Consider the following 14,706-nt stretch of genomic DNA (forward strand, 5'->3'; position numbering starts at 1 on the left):
TCTCTGCCTTCAGAATGAAATCATTTCCTTCCTGCCTAATCAGCCAGAATTTAGGTAACAGAATATAGCTGTGGACCTAAGCTAGATTTCAAGAAAGAAAAATAATTTCACAGCTGACTATGCATGTCTCTATTGCCATTACTAGTTCATCTTAATTGAATGCTGTCTGTGCACTTCCTGGCAAACCACATATTCATCCTTTAAGACCCAGTTCAAACTTCGCTCAGTGAAGCCTTCCCCAGCTCCCCTGGCAGAGTTTAACATCCCTTCTTTATATTCCAGCAGTTTGTGTTTAATTCTTTGTGAGTTCAAGGAATCAAACACTTTATTGAGCATCCACTTTCCATGACTCAGTGCCCTTGTCATAATGTGCTTTACAGACTTTATCAATGGAACTGTCTTCCTTTCTCACTCAAATTGCTCATGGTGAGTGCTACGTCTTACTCATGTTTGTATATTCTGCACAATGCCTAGCACACAGCAGAGGCTCAGTGGGATGATTTGTATAAAAGGCCACAGGAGGCTGGTGGTTCCTGAGCAGCTGCTTGAGTAATATCACCAAAGATAGGCAGATTGATTCATGTAGGCTGAGCTTTTGAAGTGGAAGAGTTTGTCTGGGATTCTAACCACAGGGAACGGAGAGAATGGAATGGATGAGGAAATGGGTTGCTGGCCAGAGAGTTTGAGCCATCAACAGGAACCACCTAAATAGCTCCTGAATGTGCTTCTATTACCTCTCTATTACCACTGCCCCCAACTTTTTCAGGTATTCCTCGTTTCTTGCCTGAATTTACTAATAACCTCAAATTGGTCTCTCTAGGTTCCTTATAGTATTCTTTTCCACCATAGTCTCCTCTTATCCATCTTCGATATGACCTCCAGCCTGAACTTTCTAAAAACAAATCCAGTATTTGTTTGCTTAAAATCCTTTCAGTGCTTAAAATCCTTTCAGTGGTCACACACACGCTTGCACACACACACACACACACACACACACACATAGGCAAATGCACATACACATTGCTTCATTCTGAAATCCAGAATCCTTGTTGTAATGTTCAAGGTCCATGCATGATTCAGCCCTTCCTTTTCGTCACTCCTCCACACACACCCTGCTCTCCGTTATGTTAAACTACTGGAAGCTCCCTGAATGGTCCTAACCATGAGACCTTTGTGCCTTGGTATATGATGCTCCTTGCTGTTACAAAATCCTTCATATATTTTGTCTTACTCAATTTGCTTACCTCTGCCTCAACTTCAGGTTATTGCTAAAGTGCCACCTCAATCTGAGATGGTTTCCTGAACCACTCTCCACTCCCTACTGGGGTGAGGTACCCAGTGCGTGCTCTCCCATACAATCCTATGCATTCCCCTGTCTTGGAACTTCTCATGTGGTGCACACTGTCTGACTCCTCCAGAACACTGAGTTTCTTGAGAGTAGGCATTTCTTATTTGTATCGGTCAATGTCTAAGTGAGTGTTTCCCTGACCATCTCACTTAAAATAACACACACATGTGTGGACACACACACACACACACCATGTTTCCTATTCTTATTCTCTACTTTATAGTTCTCTCCATAGCATTCATCACTTTCTAATAAACTATATAATTTACTTATTTTGTTTTTCTTCCGTCTCCTTCATTTCATGTAAACTGCATGAGGGCAAGAATTTGAAAGCCTGTATTTTTTTTTTTAACTGTCTTGAATTTCCCTGGTCTGATACTGATTTTTCTATTCTACTCAGCCCTAAGTTAAGATTGAGTTACTAAAAAATAACCACATGTACCTTTCTCAGAGAAACTGCAGGAATCCTTTTGTTATTGTTCACGCCCACCAATATCACCATGATCCTGTTTTTCCAGAATTTGTCTAGTAGAATGCTCAAAAGTTTGCTCTGGTTTCTGTTGTCAGAATTTCTGCTACCTGTTCTCAGACTGACTTCTTCTCCTAACCCTACAAAATACTCCCATGGTTTAGTCATTTCGAAGTAGCTGCTTTAGAGGCTGTCTTCCCTGCTGCCCACCAAGTTGGCTAATGGAAACTTTTGTTCCTCCTTGCTATAGTTTGAATGTGTCCTCCAAATTTCATGTGGTGGAAACTCAAATGCTCTTGTAACAGTATTAAGAGATGATTAGGCTTTTAAGAAATGATTAGAGGCTGAGTGCGGTGGCTCACGCCTGTAATCCAGCACTTTGGGAGGCCGAGGTGGGCGGATCACCAGGTCAGGAATTCGAGACCAGCCTGGCCAACATAGTGAAACCCTGTCTCTACTAAAAATACAAAAATTAGCCGGGTGTGGTGGCACACGCCTGTAGTCCCAGCTACTCGGGAGACTGAGGCAGGAGAATCGCTTGAACCCAGGAGAAGGAGGTTGCAGTGAGCCAAGACAGCGCCATTGCACTCCAGCCTGGGTGACAGAGTGAGCTTCCCTCTCAAAAAAAAAAGAAATGATTAGGCCATCACGGCTTCACCCTCACCAATGGATTACTAATGCTGTTATTAGGAGAGTGGGTTAGTTATCTCAGGAGCAGGCTCCTAATAAAAGGCTGAGTTCAGTCCTCATTTTTTCTCTGTTCCTGGAATACATTTTCTCACCATGTGATGCCTTTTGCCATCGAAGAACCCTCACCAGATGTCAGCACCGTGCTCTTGGGCTGCTTAGCCTCCAGAACCACAAGCCAAAAAAACTTGTATTGTTTTTAAATTACCCAGTCTGCAGTATTGTGTTACAGCAGCAAACAACACAGACCCTCCCTTTTTTGCTTGTTTCAATGGTTTTGTCTGTTTTATCCACTGTTATTTTCCCAGAGTCTAGAACAGTGCATGACATAAAGCACGTGCCCGTTAACTGTTTGCTGTGGCATTTGTCTCCTCAGCATTTAGTATGACACCTGGCACATAATAGACCCTCAATACATGTTAACTGTACAAATTAATAAAGGATTGAAAGAAATGGGGGTGCAGAATTACATCAAGGAATAAAGTGGGTGAAAATGCCATTCTAGACTCTTCCTTCTTTCTCACATCCCATGTCTAATCAATCTTCAAGTTGTTGGTTCATTTCTTTAAAACTTTCCTAATATTTTCTTTTCTACTACTTAGTTCAGGTCCCTATCATCTCTAACCTTTACTATTACAATATTCTTCTAGTTTCCATGCCTTTAGTCTTGCTCTCCTTCAATCATTTCTCCTCTTAGTGATGTTTCCAAAATGTGTCCAGGAGTATCACTCCCCTGACTGGTGAATCCCATGATCTGAGGGATAACGTTTAGATTCCTTTGTGAGAACAAAAAAGTCCTTCATGACTTGGACCCTTTCCATCCTCACCTTCTACTCCACTTCTACCAGGCTCTGCACTCTTGCCATTCCAAATTATTGCATTTCTTCAAGCATTTCTCTTTCGTGCTTCTGTGCCTCTGTTCTCTTTGCTTGGAATAGTTCTCATCAATTTTGTACACATGATTAACTTTTATGTATCCTCCAAAATTTAGCTTCACTGTCATGTCCTCCTTAGAGTCCCCTTTAATTCCCAACTAGAATTTGTCATTCCTTCTTACACCTCCCAAAGCACCCTTCACCTTATATATTGTCATCATTTGCTTATGCGTCTGTCTTTTTCCCAGAAATGTGAGTTCATTGAAGGCAGAGACTATGTCTTATGCACCTTTGTGTACCCAGAGCTTAGCCCCATATTTGCCATTCAGTGGGGACATGAAAAATACTTTTTTGCTATGAAGACTTGCACATTAACCTTAACATATGAAAGTCCTACTTTTTGGAAATTATTTAATTTTTCAGCCTTCATAAAGCCCATCTAGTATATTTCACATTCTAATGATAATTATGGATTCTTAGTTGAATCTTCCTCTGTGGGTTTCATGGCAGGGATCAGTACTTTATAAGGATTTTCTTAGGTTCAACCTTACGTTTCTATATTGAGAAGCCCGTTTTTAGGCAGATCTTTCTACCCAGATTTTCCTTCTTCTGTATTATGCACAGTTTATACAAATCACAGAAAGCCAGGTTGCTTCCTAGGTTCAACACCACACATCAGTGTTCCTCATTTAGTGCCTGACTCATTCTACACAGTAATATCAATGCCCCAGCAATTCTCCTGAGTTGTCACTGGGACAGAGCTCACCACTATCCTGAAGGGAAAGATGATAATTTGAGCATGGGCTTTTTCTAAGTTACAGTAGAGTAGGCTGGGGGCGGTGGCTCATGCCTGTAATCCCAGCACTTTGGGAGGCCAAAGTGGGTGAATCACCTGAGGTCAGGAGTTCAAGACCACCCTGGCCAACATGGCGAAACTGCATCTCTACTAAAAATACAAAAATTAGCTGGGCATGGTGGCTCGCACCTGTAATCCCAGCTACACAGGAGCCTGAGGCACGAGAATTGATTGAACCTGGGAGGCAGAGGTTGCAGTGAGCCGAGATCGTGCCACTGCACTCCAGCCTGGGCAAGAATGAGTGAGACTCCATCCAAAAAAAAAAAAAAATTACATGAGTAGGTTTAGGGAATTTTTTAAGCCTCTCAATCTTTCCTCATAAGCTTATATTAGAATGAAGAGTATCTCTTTCCATTAATTCTAAAGTTTATGACATCAATTATACTTTTAGCTACCCCTGCAACCGTTACCACTTCTTCCTGCTTAAAAAGTAAAATGGAAAATAAAGTAATGAAATATACAATTAGCTTAAAGATAATTTACTAAAAGGGAATTGATAATATGCGGCAAATGAGGTAGAATTAGATTGAGTGTTATCCCAAGAGCTATCTTGAATGCAGAGGCAAGAAAAAAGACAAAATTATATTCAGGAAGGAAACAGCTCAAATGCAGAAGAGACAGGATGGGGCATTAGGGTGAAAGGGCAAGATGAGGCCACTGATGGGCAGTGAGGATGGTGACTTGAAGCATCAAGCAAACAAAGCACAGAGTGGAGCAGGTGAGACTGGGAAGTTCAGGATATTAAGTCATGAATACGCCTTGTTCCGGGTTGCCAGCTATACACATTTCTTAAAGGCACCGCACTCCATTTATCACCATCTACATACTTAGAGTAACATTCTAGTCAGAGCAAGGTCAAGGTTTCTTTAGGTTTCCTTGGCAGAACTTTGTGAACTTTTGTGGGTGTGCTAGAGATGGGCCACACACTTTTCTGCCACAGACCTCCACGCCACAGCTGAGGTTCGGGCAGATCTCTGTAAACCTGGACATTCATGCTCCAGCTGGGCTACCACAGCTCCAGTTCCTTGGCCCTTGCTCCACTCCCATGGGATCTCATGGTCCGGGGAGAGTTTCAGCTGTTCCAGGCCTAGCAAGGCAAAATCAAGTACCAAATGGATAGATTTTCACAGAGTGGAAAAACAAGAAATGGCATCCCTGGGATAAGCCCAGGAGCCAAATCTCCAGTTTTCAGCAGGGCCCGATGGCATAAATGAGAGAGTGGAAATCCCCTTAGGCTCTGTACCAGACCTTATGCATCAAGAGTTATCTTGCAGGTATCCTCCAAGTATCATCTGGTCTATGGTAAGCAAGAGTGTGACTCATTAAAGGCACTACAGCAGATTTAATATACATGAAGTCAAAGCTGTCGAATCCTCTGTGCACCTGAAATGTTGGGGCTGGGGCCCATTACAGAGAGAACTTAAGAACAGCTTTGCTGGTGGGAGACCTCATGCTTGAGGTATACAGTGGAGTGTCCTCAAGTAGAGTGCCAAAGACTGAAGTCCTTGATATCTAACTCTTCATCCAGGCTCACCCTGGCCCTCCACAAAATTAATATCTTTGAGTAAACATATTCTAATCAGGCTTTAAATAACTTCAGTTAGTTACAAGTGTGCAAGTTCATCATGCCAAATCCTTGTTAGAGTTTTCCCTTCCTGAGTCCCCCTACCTTTCCACTTCTAACTCCTTTAGTTTGGTTCTTATGAGATTATTTCTTCTTGGATTCCTGAGATGAAAAGCAATAGAAGAGGGCAGGTTTATCTAGAAATAGAATAGGTTAGCACTGATAAAAGTGGCTGAGGTCAATGAATATTTAAAAGAAGCCAAAAAGTAATTGATGAGGACTCTTGCTTTTGAAACCTCATTTTCCAATCCAAAGCACAAAACCTACAAACTGAGGTGAAAATTCCCTTTGCACCATCTTCTTTGACATTGCCAGTCATTGAGAGAGGACTGTGGAGGATAGTTAGGCTAAGGGTAAGGCTTAGAATGTGTTGGTTCTTCGTCTTCCCAGAAGAAATTGCCTCAGGGTTCCCTGACCTTGGGAATCCTCTCTGCAGAAGCAGATTGAAGCTAAAGCCAATTCAAATTATCAAGGCGAACTTCCTAGTCACATTCTGATCACAGATGAGTGGATTCATGAATAGGACTGTTCCAAAGGCAAAATGTGCATCTGGAGAAGTTTGGGCTCCCTTTTTGGTATCTTAATCCCTACCAAACTCTCTCTGGGCCGAAGTCTCATGCCACCCTGGCCCTGAAGTCCTGTTCTTCTGCCCCCTCTCATGGATCTTCCCTGTCCTGCAGGTACATTCTTGGCCTACATGCCCTGGGTTTTCCAAGGGGAGGAGCTAGCTAACTCACCAAATTATCTTCACCTGCACTAATAAATAAATAGAAGAAGCTAATGGAACTCCCATAAGATCATGACTCTTTGGAGATTATTTTGCTTTCTAACAGTGACCTTCCAGAAGCAATGCCTTAGAAAAGAAGTAATTCTGATGGAGAAGTATTCCCAGTGATGTAAAAGGGATAGCAGAACCCTAATAGATGTGAAGGGATAGATACCTTTAGGTAGGGAAGTCCTTGCACGGTTTCTCAGAGGTAAGTATCTGATGTCCTGCTTACATATGGAAAACCTGTAGCAGTGAAGAATTCTGCATCATTTGTTTAATTTTTCAGAGTCATTTAACAAACATTAATGAGAGGCCTATTATATGAGGCCCTGTGCTAGGTGCTAGAAATATAAAGTAAATAACAGGCTGGGCACCGTGGCTCACACCTATAATCCCAGCACTGTGGAAGGCCAAGGTGGGCAGATCACTTGAGCCCAGGAGTTTGAAACCAGCCTGGGCAACATGGTGAAACTCCATCTCTACAAAAAATACAAAAATTATCCAGGCATGGTGACCTGTGCCTGTAGTCCCAGCTACTCAGGAAGCTGAGGTGGGAGGATCGCTTGAGCCCGGGAGGCAGAGGTTGCAGTGAGCCGAGATCACACCACTGCACTCCAGCCTGAGCAACACAGTGAGGCCCTGTCTCAAAAAAAAAAAAAAAAAGATAAAGAAAAACAACATAGATATGTTGCTGCCCTCATGGAACTTACATTCTAATGGGGAGGCAAACCAAAAATAAATGTGAACAGACAAACAAAATCTGTAAAGCAGGTTGGAGTTGTATTAAAGACAGTGTCAGGAAAGCCTTCTGTAAGGTGCAAACATTTAAGCTAAGATTCAAAAATGAAAGCTGTCAGCCATGCAAAGAGGTGGGAAACAGTGTTCCAGGCAGAGGGAACAGCCTGTGCCGAAGTGCTGGAAGAGTGTAGCACATTCAAGGAAGGGAAAGAAGAACAACGAGGCTAGAGCTTGCTGACAATGGGGAGAGGGACACAAAATAAGCTTAAAGAGAGAGGTAGGGAACAGAGCATGTCGATAGTAAATCATGGCCTTGGAGTTTATTCAAAATGAAATGAAAAATCCTCCCAGGTATGAAGTCAGGGATTACACTCCAGCATGCATTTAGGAAGCGCTTGCTACCCTGGAAAATGGGCTGTAGGTGGACAAGAGTGGCCATAAAGAGACAAAAGCTGATATACAGTCCAGGCAAGAGATGATGGTGGCCCAAATTAGGCGGAAGAGTGGATAGAGGTGAGACAAGTTTTTACAGATAGAATCAACAGGACTTGCTAATGCACTGGATATATTGGTTAAGGGCAGGGGAAGAATCAAAAAAGGACCAAAGGGAAAGAGGGCTTCACAGCCCACTCACTATCGCCCTCCCAGGGTTGTGACTCCTGATGCCTTCTTGAGCTTCTGAGAACTCCCAGGCCTTGAGAGAAAGATATTGCTTGGATCCATTAGAGGCATCCCTCTCCATGAGTAAAATCATCTATGAGACCCACTTAAAGTTTTCCACTTGAATTAGAAATTCTTTCTGAGAAGGCACAAAGAAATCAAAAAGACTTCGTGCATTGAACTGCACTGACGTTGGCATGAGAAAATGATGACTTGCTTTGAGATAGTGAAAGATTCTTACTGAACTGCCCAGAGCAGTTATCAAAAGGTTTAAGAAAGATGTCAGGAAGTCCAGTGCAATATGAGTGACTAAGTGAGAATTCTGATTGTAAAGCTGGGCATGATTTATTTTTCTGCACTAACTCAATGTAGAAGCCTCCAAGTGATCTCTTCCAAACACAAACAAACTCTTATGACAGTAAGCCTGCAGTAAGTAATACTTTGGTACCTCATGGTTTTCTGTCTTGAATGCTACCTATTCCTACAGATGGCCTTGGGAAATATTCACAGATAAACATGGATTCTCTTCTCTTCTCTTTTCTTTTCTTTTTTTTTTTTTTTTTTTTTTTTTGAGATGGTTTCTCACTCTGTTACCCAGGCTGGTGTGCAGTGGCATGATCTCAGCTCACTGCAGCCTCCGCCCTCCTGGGTTCAAGTGATTCTCCTGCCTCAGCCTCCCAAGTACCTGGGACTACAGGTGCCTGCCACCATGCCTGGCTAATTTTTTTTGTATTTTTAGTAGAGACGGGGTTTCACTATGTTGGCCAGGCTGGTCTCGAACTCCTGACTTTGTGATCCACCCACCTCGGCCTCCCAAAGTGCTGGGATTACAGGCGTGAGGCACTGTGTCTGGCCATGGATTCTCTTTTCTAATAACTAGCATAATCACTATCAGTAGAAAATCTGGTACAAACCAGGATGAGCTAGGGCTCTGGGGGCCCCCCTGTACACTCCAGAGAGCCAGGAGCCCTGGCCCCTTTCCGCACGGGAGATCTGGGATGCCTGACTGCTGGAATATAGGTGTTCATGTGTCTATGATGGTGACTCCCCAACTTTCCCCAGTTCTCAACACATGTGCCCAACTCAAGGCTAGGAAACAGCAAGATGGTGAAATACTGTCCTGCTGCCTTCCCACCCAGGACCTTCCTGGTCTTCCCTGTCTCAGGGAACAGGTCACAGGTCATCATGGAGAATTCTACCCCCCATTGGGCAGATGGATCTTCCAAAATGATGCCGGTTATTTTGGTGGCTGTGGCTTTTGGTTGTGTGTGTGTGTGTGTGTGTGTGTGTGTGTGTGTGTGTGTGCATGTGTGTGTTTTCTGTGACCACCCAGTCTTCCTGGTGCATCACACCTTGTCCTCATATCCCCTGTTCCCTCCACAATAACAGAAACATTCCCAGGGACTCTGAGGAGAGATACTGTTGTCACTCCAGAGGAGAGATACTGCTGTCACTCCAGAGGACATTTTTTTAGCAATAAAATTGAGTGTCAAGTGTTTTGTTGAAAGTAATGAAAGTAATCACAGAAATATTTTTTCCCATTGTCTTCTAAAGCAATGCTGTTACGGTTTAGTGAATAAAAAATGGAAATAACTTACTTGGCAACCATTTTCAATGTTGTACCTTTTCTTTCATAGCTGTTAAATAAAATCTATATACTACAGTTAGGATTTCACACAATAAGTCAATTACTTTGGGTGTGGCTTCTTGTGAAATTCTATTGCTATGCTTTAAACTGAACACAGGCTGGTCAAGAGATGAAAGGATGAGTTTAGAAAAGTTGTCACATGTCTTCTTATTCCCAGGGTTGAAAAAATAGCTGAAATAGAAAATTATATACTAATTCTCAGGTCAAGAAATGCTGTGTAATTTACCAACATTACTATGTTAATGGTAACCACGTTCCCATTAGGACGTAGTGAGGTACAAAGAGATCTAAGGCATGGTCTATGCTGTCAAGGAGTTTACAACCCTCTTCCTAATACTGCAATCAGCGTGGCTCCTGCCTGCCTTAGGGCCTTTGGCCACACCATTCTTTTTCACTTTCCATAGCTTTCCCAGCCCTCTGATTTGGCAAACTCCAATCTATCATTGATTCTTGGCTTAAATACCACTTTACCAGAACCTGGGAGCAGAGGGGACATGTCCTGTCTCTCTGAGGCTGAATCCCTCATTAGACTTTCTTCTAGAGCCCTGTGCACTCCTTCAATGAATCTATAAAAATTGTTATCATACAGATATTTGTGAGATGGGAGGCATGTAGGGAGGAGAGCTGATGTTACGTAATGATAATCTCCTCAACTAGGCTGCAAATTCCACAAGGGCAAATGATTTTGTTTACCACTCTATCTCCAGCCCTGACACAGTGCCTGGTACAGAGTGGGGGTCTCCATAAATATCTGTGGAGTGAGTAACTTAATTAGTGATATAAATACCAATTGCCTAAAAGCACTTCAAAGTGGCATAGCTGAGGGCCAGACGATAGCTGCCATGTGAAATGAAAGGACGGAAACACTAGCCTGGAGTGGAAATTGTTACAATTAGCATCTTGAGGGAAAGGGCTGAGATGAAAATGAACCTAGAAGGAAGAATAAGATGTGTTCCAGAGAACACAGGGAGGATAGCACTGGCTGAAGGAATAGAATAGTGGGCACAGCAAACTTGAGTACATCAGAACACTGGTATAGTTGAATGGGGATATCTATAGGGAAGTAGTGGGATTAATATTTATGTTGATATTAATCCCACTACTTTTATTTATAATATTAATATTAATATATTGCCATTACTTCTAATGGCAAAAACTGCAATTACTTTTGCACCAACCTAATAAATAGGTCAAATTTAGACAAAGGAGCTTAACTTTTAGCTTTAGGTCCATTAAAGGCCTTTGAACAAAGTGATTATGTATACTAACCTGATACTTTGGCATCCAAACTACAAAACAGATGAAATAAAGGGTTTCATTCCTGTTACAAAGATGTCTTGGCTTTACCAAAAGGTTATGAAAGGGTTATTTTAAATAACATCACTTTGGATAGATTAAAATGTTTGTTTATAACTAAAATAGTTTGGATGCCGCTTAGCTAAAAAGATTTATTCAGCAAAAGAAAATAAAAGGCAAATAATTAAAGAGCAGAAAAACATTAAGATAAAATAACACTGCAATCCTCATGCATGAAATTGATGTCTGTGATTTGGTTTACAAGATTTTAATCTGCATAAAATTTTTCAGGACCACTTCTACTGCTTTTGGTAAAATGTCTTTTGGATTCTAAAATGTCTCTAAAGAAGAATATTCCAGAATATCTTTAATTTAAAAAGTACAGTCAATCAGCAGCTCAGATGCCAGCTATCTTGCCCTTCAAATAAAATTGATAGTGAGATATCCAGCTTCCTCCCACTTTCCCTGGGGATGGCAGGGGATGGCTTTCACCTACTGATTCCTCTCTTGAGTGTCTTTTGCAGTCTTGCAGAGCTGTCCATTCTTTAAAACACTGCACTTCCCCAAATGTAGACCATGCAGAAACTTTATTTAACATAAACAAAAATGTGTGAAAGAAAGGAATTATTAACACTCACCAAACCTGACGTTCCCATTGCCTAAGGAAAAGTCATTCCACTATTAAACTCTCAACTGAGTTCCCTATATGGCACACCAACTCCTGCATTCTTGATTCTCAGACCAATGTCCCCTGGAGAGCAGTTCTTCTTTCCAGCCTCACACAGCATGGCTCCACACCACTTCAGAGAAACCTTTTCCCTTGCACAGAGCTTAGACCCACCTGCACTCACTCCCAGCAGCAAATTTCCTCAAGTTTAGGTTATTCGGGTTAGATCAAAAAAAGAACAGTCAGAGCTCATCTTTCATGGTACGGAAACAATCATGAAGTAATTCACTAATGAACCTACTACTTACAATATTAGTCCCTATTCAAATAGTCTTTCTTGCATTATACGTTTGTAGATTAGCCTCTTGCAGATGATCAGATATTGTAAATATCTGGAAATACAAGGCCAAGTCATTGCAAATTGAAATTTTAAATATCTGGAAAAATGCAGAATTTCATCAAGTCCATGAAAATGTGTTGAGGACTTTGCTAGAATCATAGACTCTGACAAATGAGGGTGAGGTGAGTTGTACTGTTAGCCGTGGAAAATGGACCAGAAGTGGTGGCACAAGAGGTACATCCTTAGCCATTTACATGCAAAAACTTAGGAAGGCCTGGGAGACAGCTGAATAAGTTTTGCAAAAATGATCTTCATTATAATTGTGCTTTCAAAGTCAAACTAGAAGTGAAGAAAATTATATTTACTATCATACTACTTTGTTAGAATATTTACACCTTAAAAAATCAACACTAGATTCCTTCTTTATTATTCTAAAAATTAGCATATAGTTCTAGTTTTAATTCAATTGTGTTTAAAAATAGAAATCAACTTATTTTTACATGTTTTAGCTTCACTTTTCAGAATAAAATTCCAATAAAATCTTTTCTCCACTACTTCCTATGAAACTTTGGCCTATTTTCAGTGAATTCACTTTCTGGTATCATAGTTTTCTGCTATAGAAGATGTTCTGTACCTCATGGGAACATCAGTGCCATTGCTGTAAAATGTCCTCCTGAAATATTGATGTTATTTGTTGGGTATGGATCTCTTTGTGGCCCTCAAAAATTCATATGTTAAATCCCTAACTCCCAGTGTACAATATTTGGAGACAGGGCCTTTAGGGAGACAATTAAGGTTAAATGATGTCATGAGAGTGAGGCCCTGATCCTATAGGACTGGTGTCCTTACAAGAAGAGGAAGAGACACAAGGGGTGGGCACAGAGAAAAGACCATGTGAGAGCACAGCAAAAAGCACCAGCTGCAAGCCAGGAAGACCAGACTCACCAGAAACCCATCTGCCAGCACCTTGACCTTGGACTTCGAGCCTCCAAGACTGTGAGGAAATAAATTCCTATTGTTTTTTTAAGCCACCTGCCTGTGGTATTTTGTGTGGAATCCAAGCTGACTAATAGAGGGTTCAATTACATTATTTAACAAGGGGGCTGTTCTTAGCATCTATGAGTTACATTTTATTGAGGGTTTCTTGTATCCTAGACCCTACTGAATATTTAAGAAATGTGATCTCATTTCGTCCTCACAGAGCCTCAGAAAGTAACATCACTGTCTACATTTACAAGTGAGGAAACAGAGGCAACGAAAGATGACTGTCAGTCACTTGTGTAGGGTCATCTAGCTGGGAAATGGTGAACAAAGCCAAAATTCAAACCAGTCTGTCTCCCCAGCAGTGGTACTTAGCTCTGTCTGTGAATCAGAATCACTGACGAACTATATAAACAATGATGCCTGGGTCCTAGCCCCAGAGATTCTGATGCCATTGGTCTCGTATATCCCGATTTGCTAAAGCTCCCCAGCTGTATCAGTAATCTGTTGCTGCAAAATGAATTACCACAGACTTAATGGATTAAAATAATGGCAGATCTACTATCCAACAGTTTTTGTGGGCTAGGAATCTGAGCACAGCCTAATAGAGTCCTCTGCACAAGGCTGTGATTCAATTGTCAGCCAGGGCTGTGGTCTCATCAGAGATTTCGTAGTGAAACGATCTTTGTTTAAGCTCCCTCAGGGACTAAGTTCTCCATTTCCTTCATGGCCATCAGCACTCTTTACTCCTGGAAGCTGCCCACAGTTCCCTTAAGAAGGAGTCTTATACAACACAATGTAATCATAGAAGTGATTCATGTCAACTTCACCATAAAATGTAACCTAACTAAGGGAGTGACATCTCAATGCCTTTTCCATATTCCACTGGGCATGACTCATTAGGGGTCACCTTAGAGTGTATTTGTCGCACAGGTGATTTTAATGCACCATCAAGATTGAGAATCACAGCTCTAAAGCATTTTGCTCTATTTCTTTTCCACTAGAAATAGTGCAAATTTGAAATTCATAGCTTTTACATTTTTTTCTTACCACTCAATTTTAAATGGCATGGAAAATGAACAGAAAAGAAAAATGCTGTCCTCTCTAGTTATGATTACATACATGAAATTGTCACTATTCAACAATTTTTGACCTACAAAAACAGTAGTCTTATATGGTTCAATAGGATAATAATATTACTTTTCCCTGATAAACTATGTGCCTGAAAAATGCCTAGATGTGGTTACAGGTTCAGGTAGAAAAAATTAGAGGCAACTTATTCTCAACTACTGGCATAATTTTAGCAATTCCACAGCAAATCTAAAACATCTGACATTCTGTCTATAAAATATAGTCACATTTTCCAAATGGATTTCAGTAATACTGGAAAGCTTAGAAAATACAACTATTCTTTTATGAATCGCCAACACTTTTCCGTAGAAACAAAATTTAAATGATTTTCAGTTTGAGATATTTACAAAGGTAATATTATGGGTTAAGAACTGCTTTCGCAGAAATGAGAAAAAATGGCAAAAATAAGTCTCAGTGTTGTCTAAGAAGAAAACGTAAATTTAGACTGAGCATTTTCATTATGAAGTACTCAACCACATCTGCTGTGAAAATTCTCTGGGGTGGGTAGGCTCTAACTTCCTGGGGGTAAGCACTGGCTATTGCTGTCTGGGGGAAGCTGAATTCGAAGACAGTGACTCTAATTTACCTACGTGGCAATTTGCCTATTCAAAATGGTC

The 14,706-nt window shown here is 41.2% G+C and overlaps 2 long non-coding RNA genes across 5 annotated transcripts in view; both read right to left on the bottom strand.

Moving 5' to 3' along the window:
* The window catches only part of LOC102723490 (uncharacterized), a 113,878-nt gene that overhangs the window by 42,474 nt on the left and 56,698 nt on the right, over positions 1-14,706 (bottom strand). The gene's annotated exons all lie outside the window — the stretch shown is intronic.
* On the bottom strand, positions 9,623-12,305 carry LOC124903156 (uncharacterized). Its single transcript, XR_007063758.1, has 2 exons — positions 11,467-12,305; positions 9,623-9,845 (listed from the first exon to the last, which is right to left on the bottom strand). It is a non-coding gene; the product is annotated as an uncharacterized LOC124903156 (long non-coding RNA).

Source organism: Homo sapiens, chromosome 13 (genome assembly GCF_000001405.40).
Source record: "Homo sapiens chromosome 13, GRCh38.p14 Primary Assembly".
Classification (NCBI taxonomy): domain Eukaryota; kingdom Metazoa; phylum Chordata; class Mammalia; order Primates; family Hominidae; genus Homo; species Homo sapiens.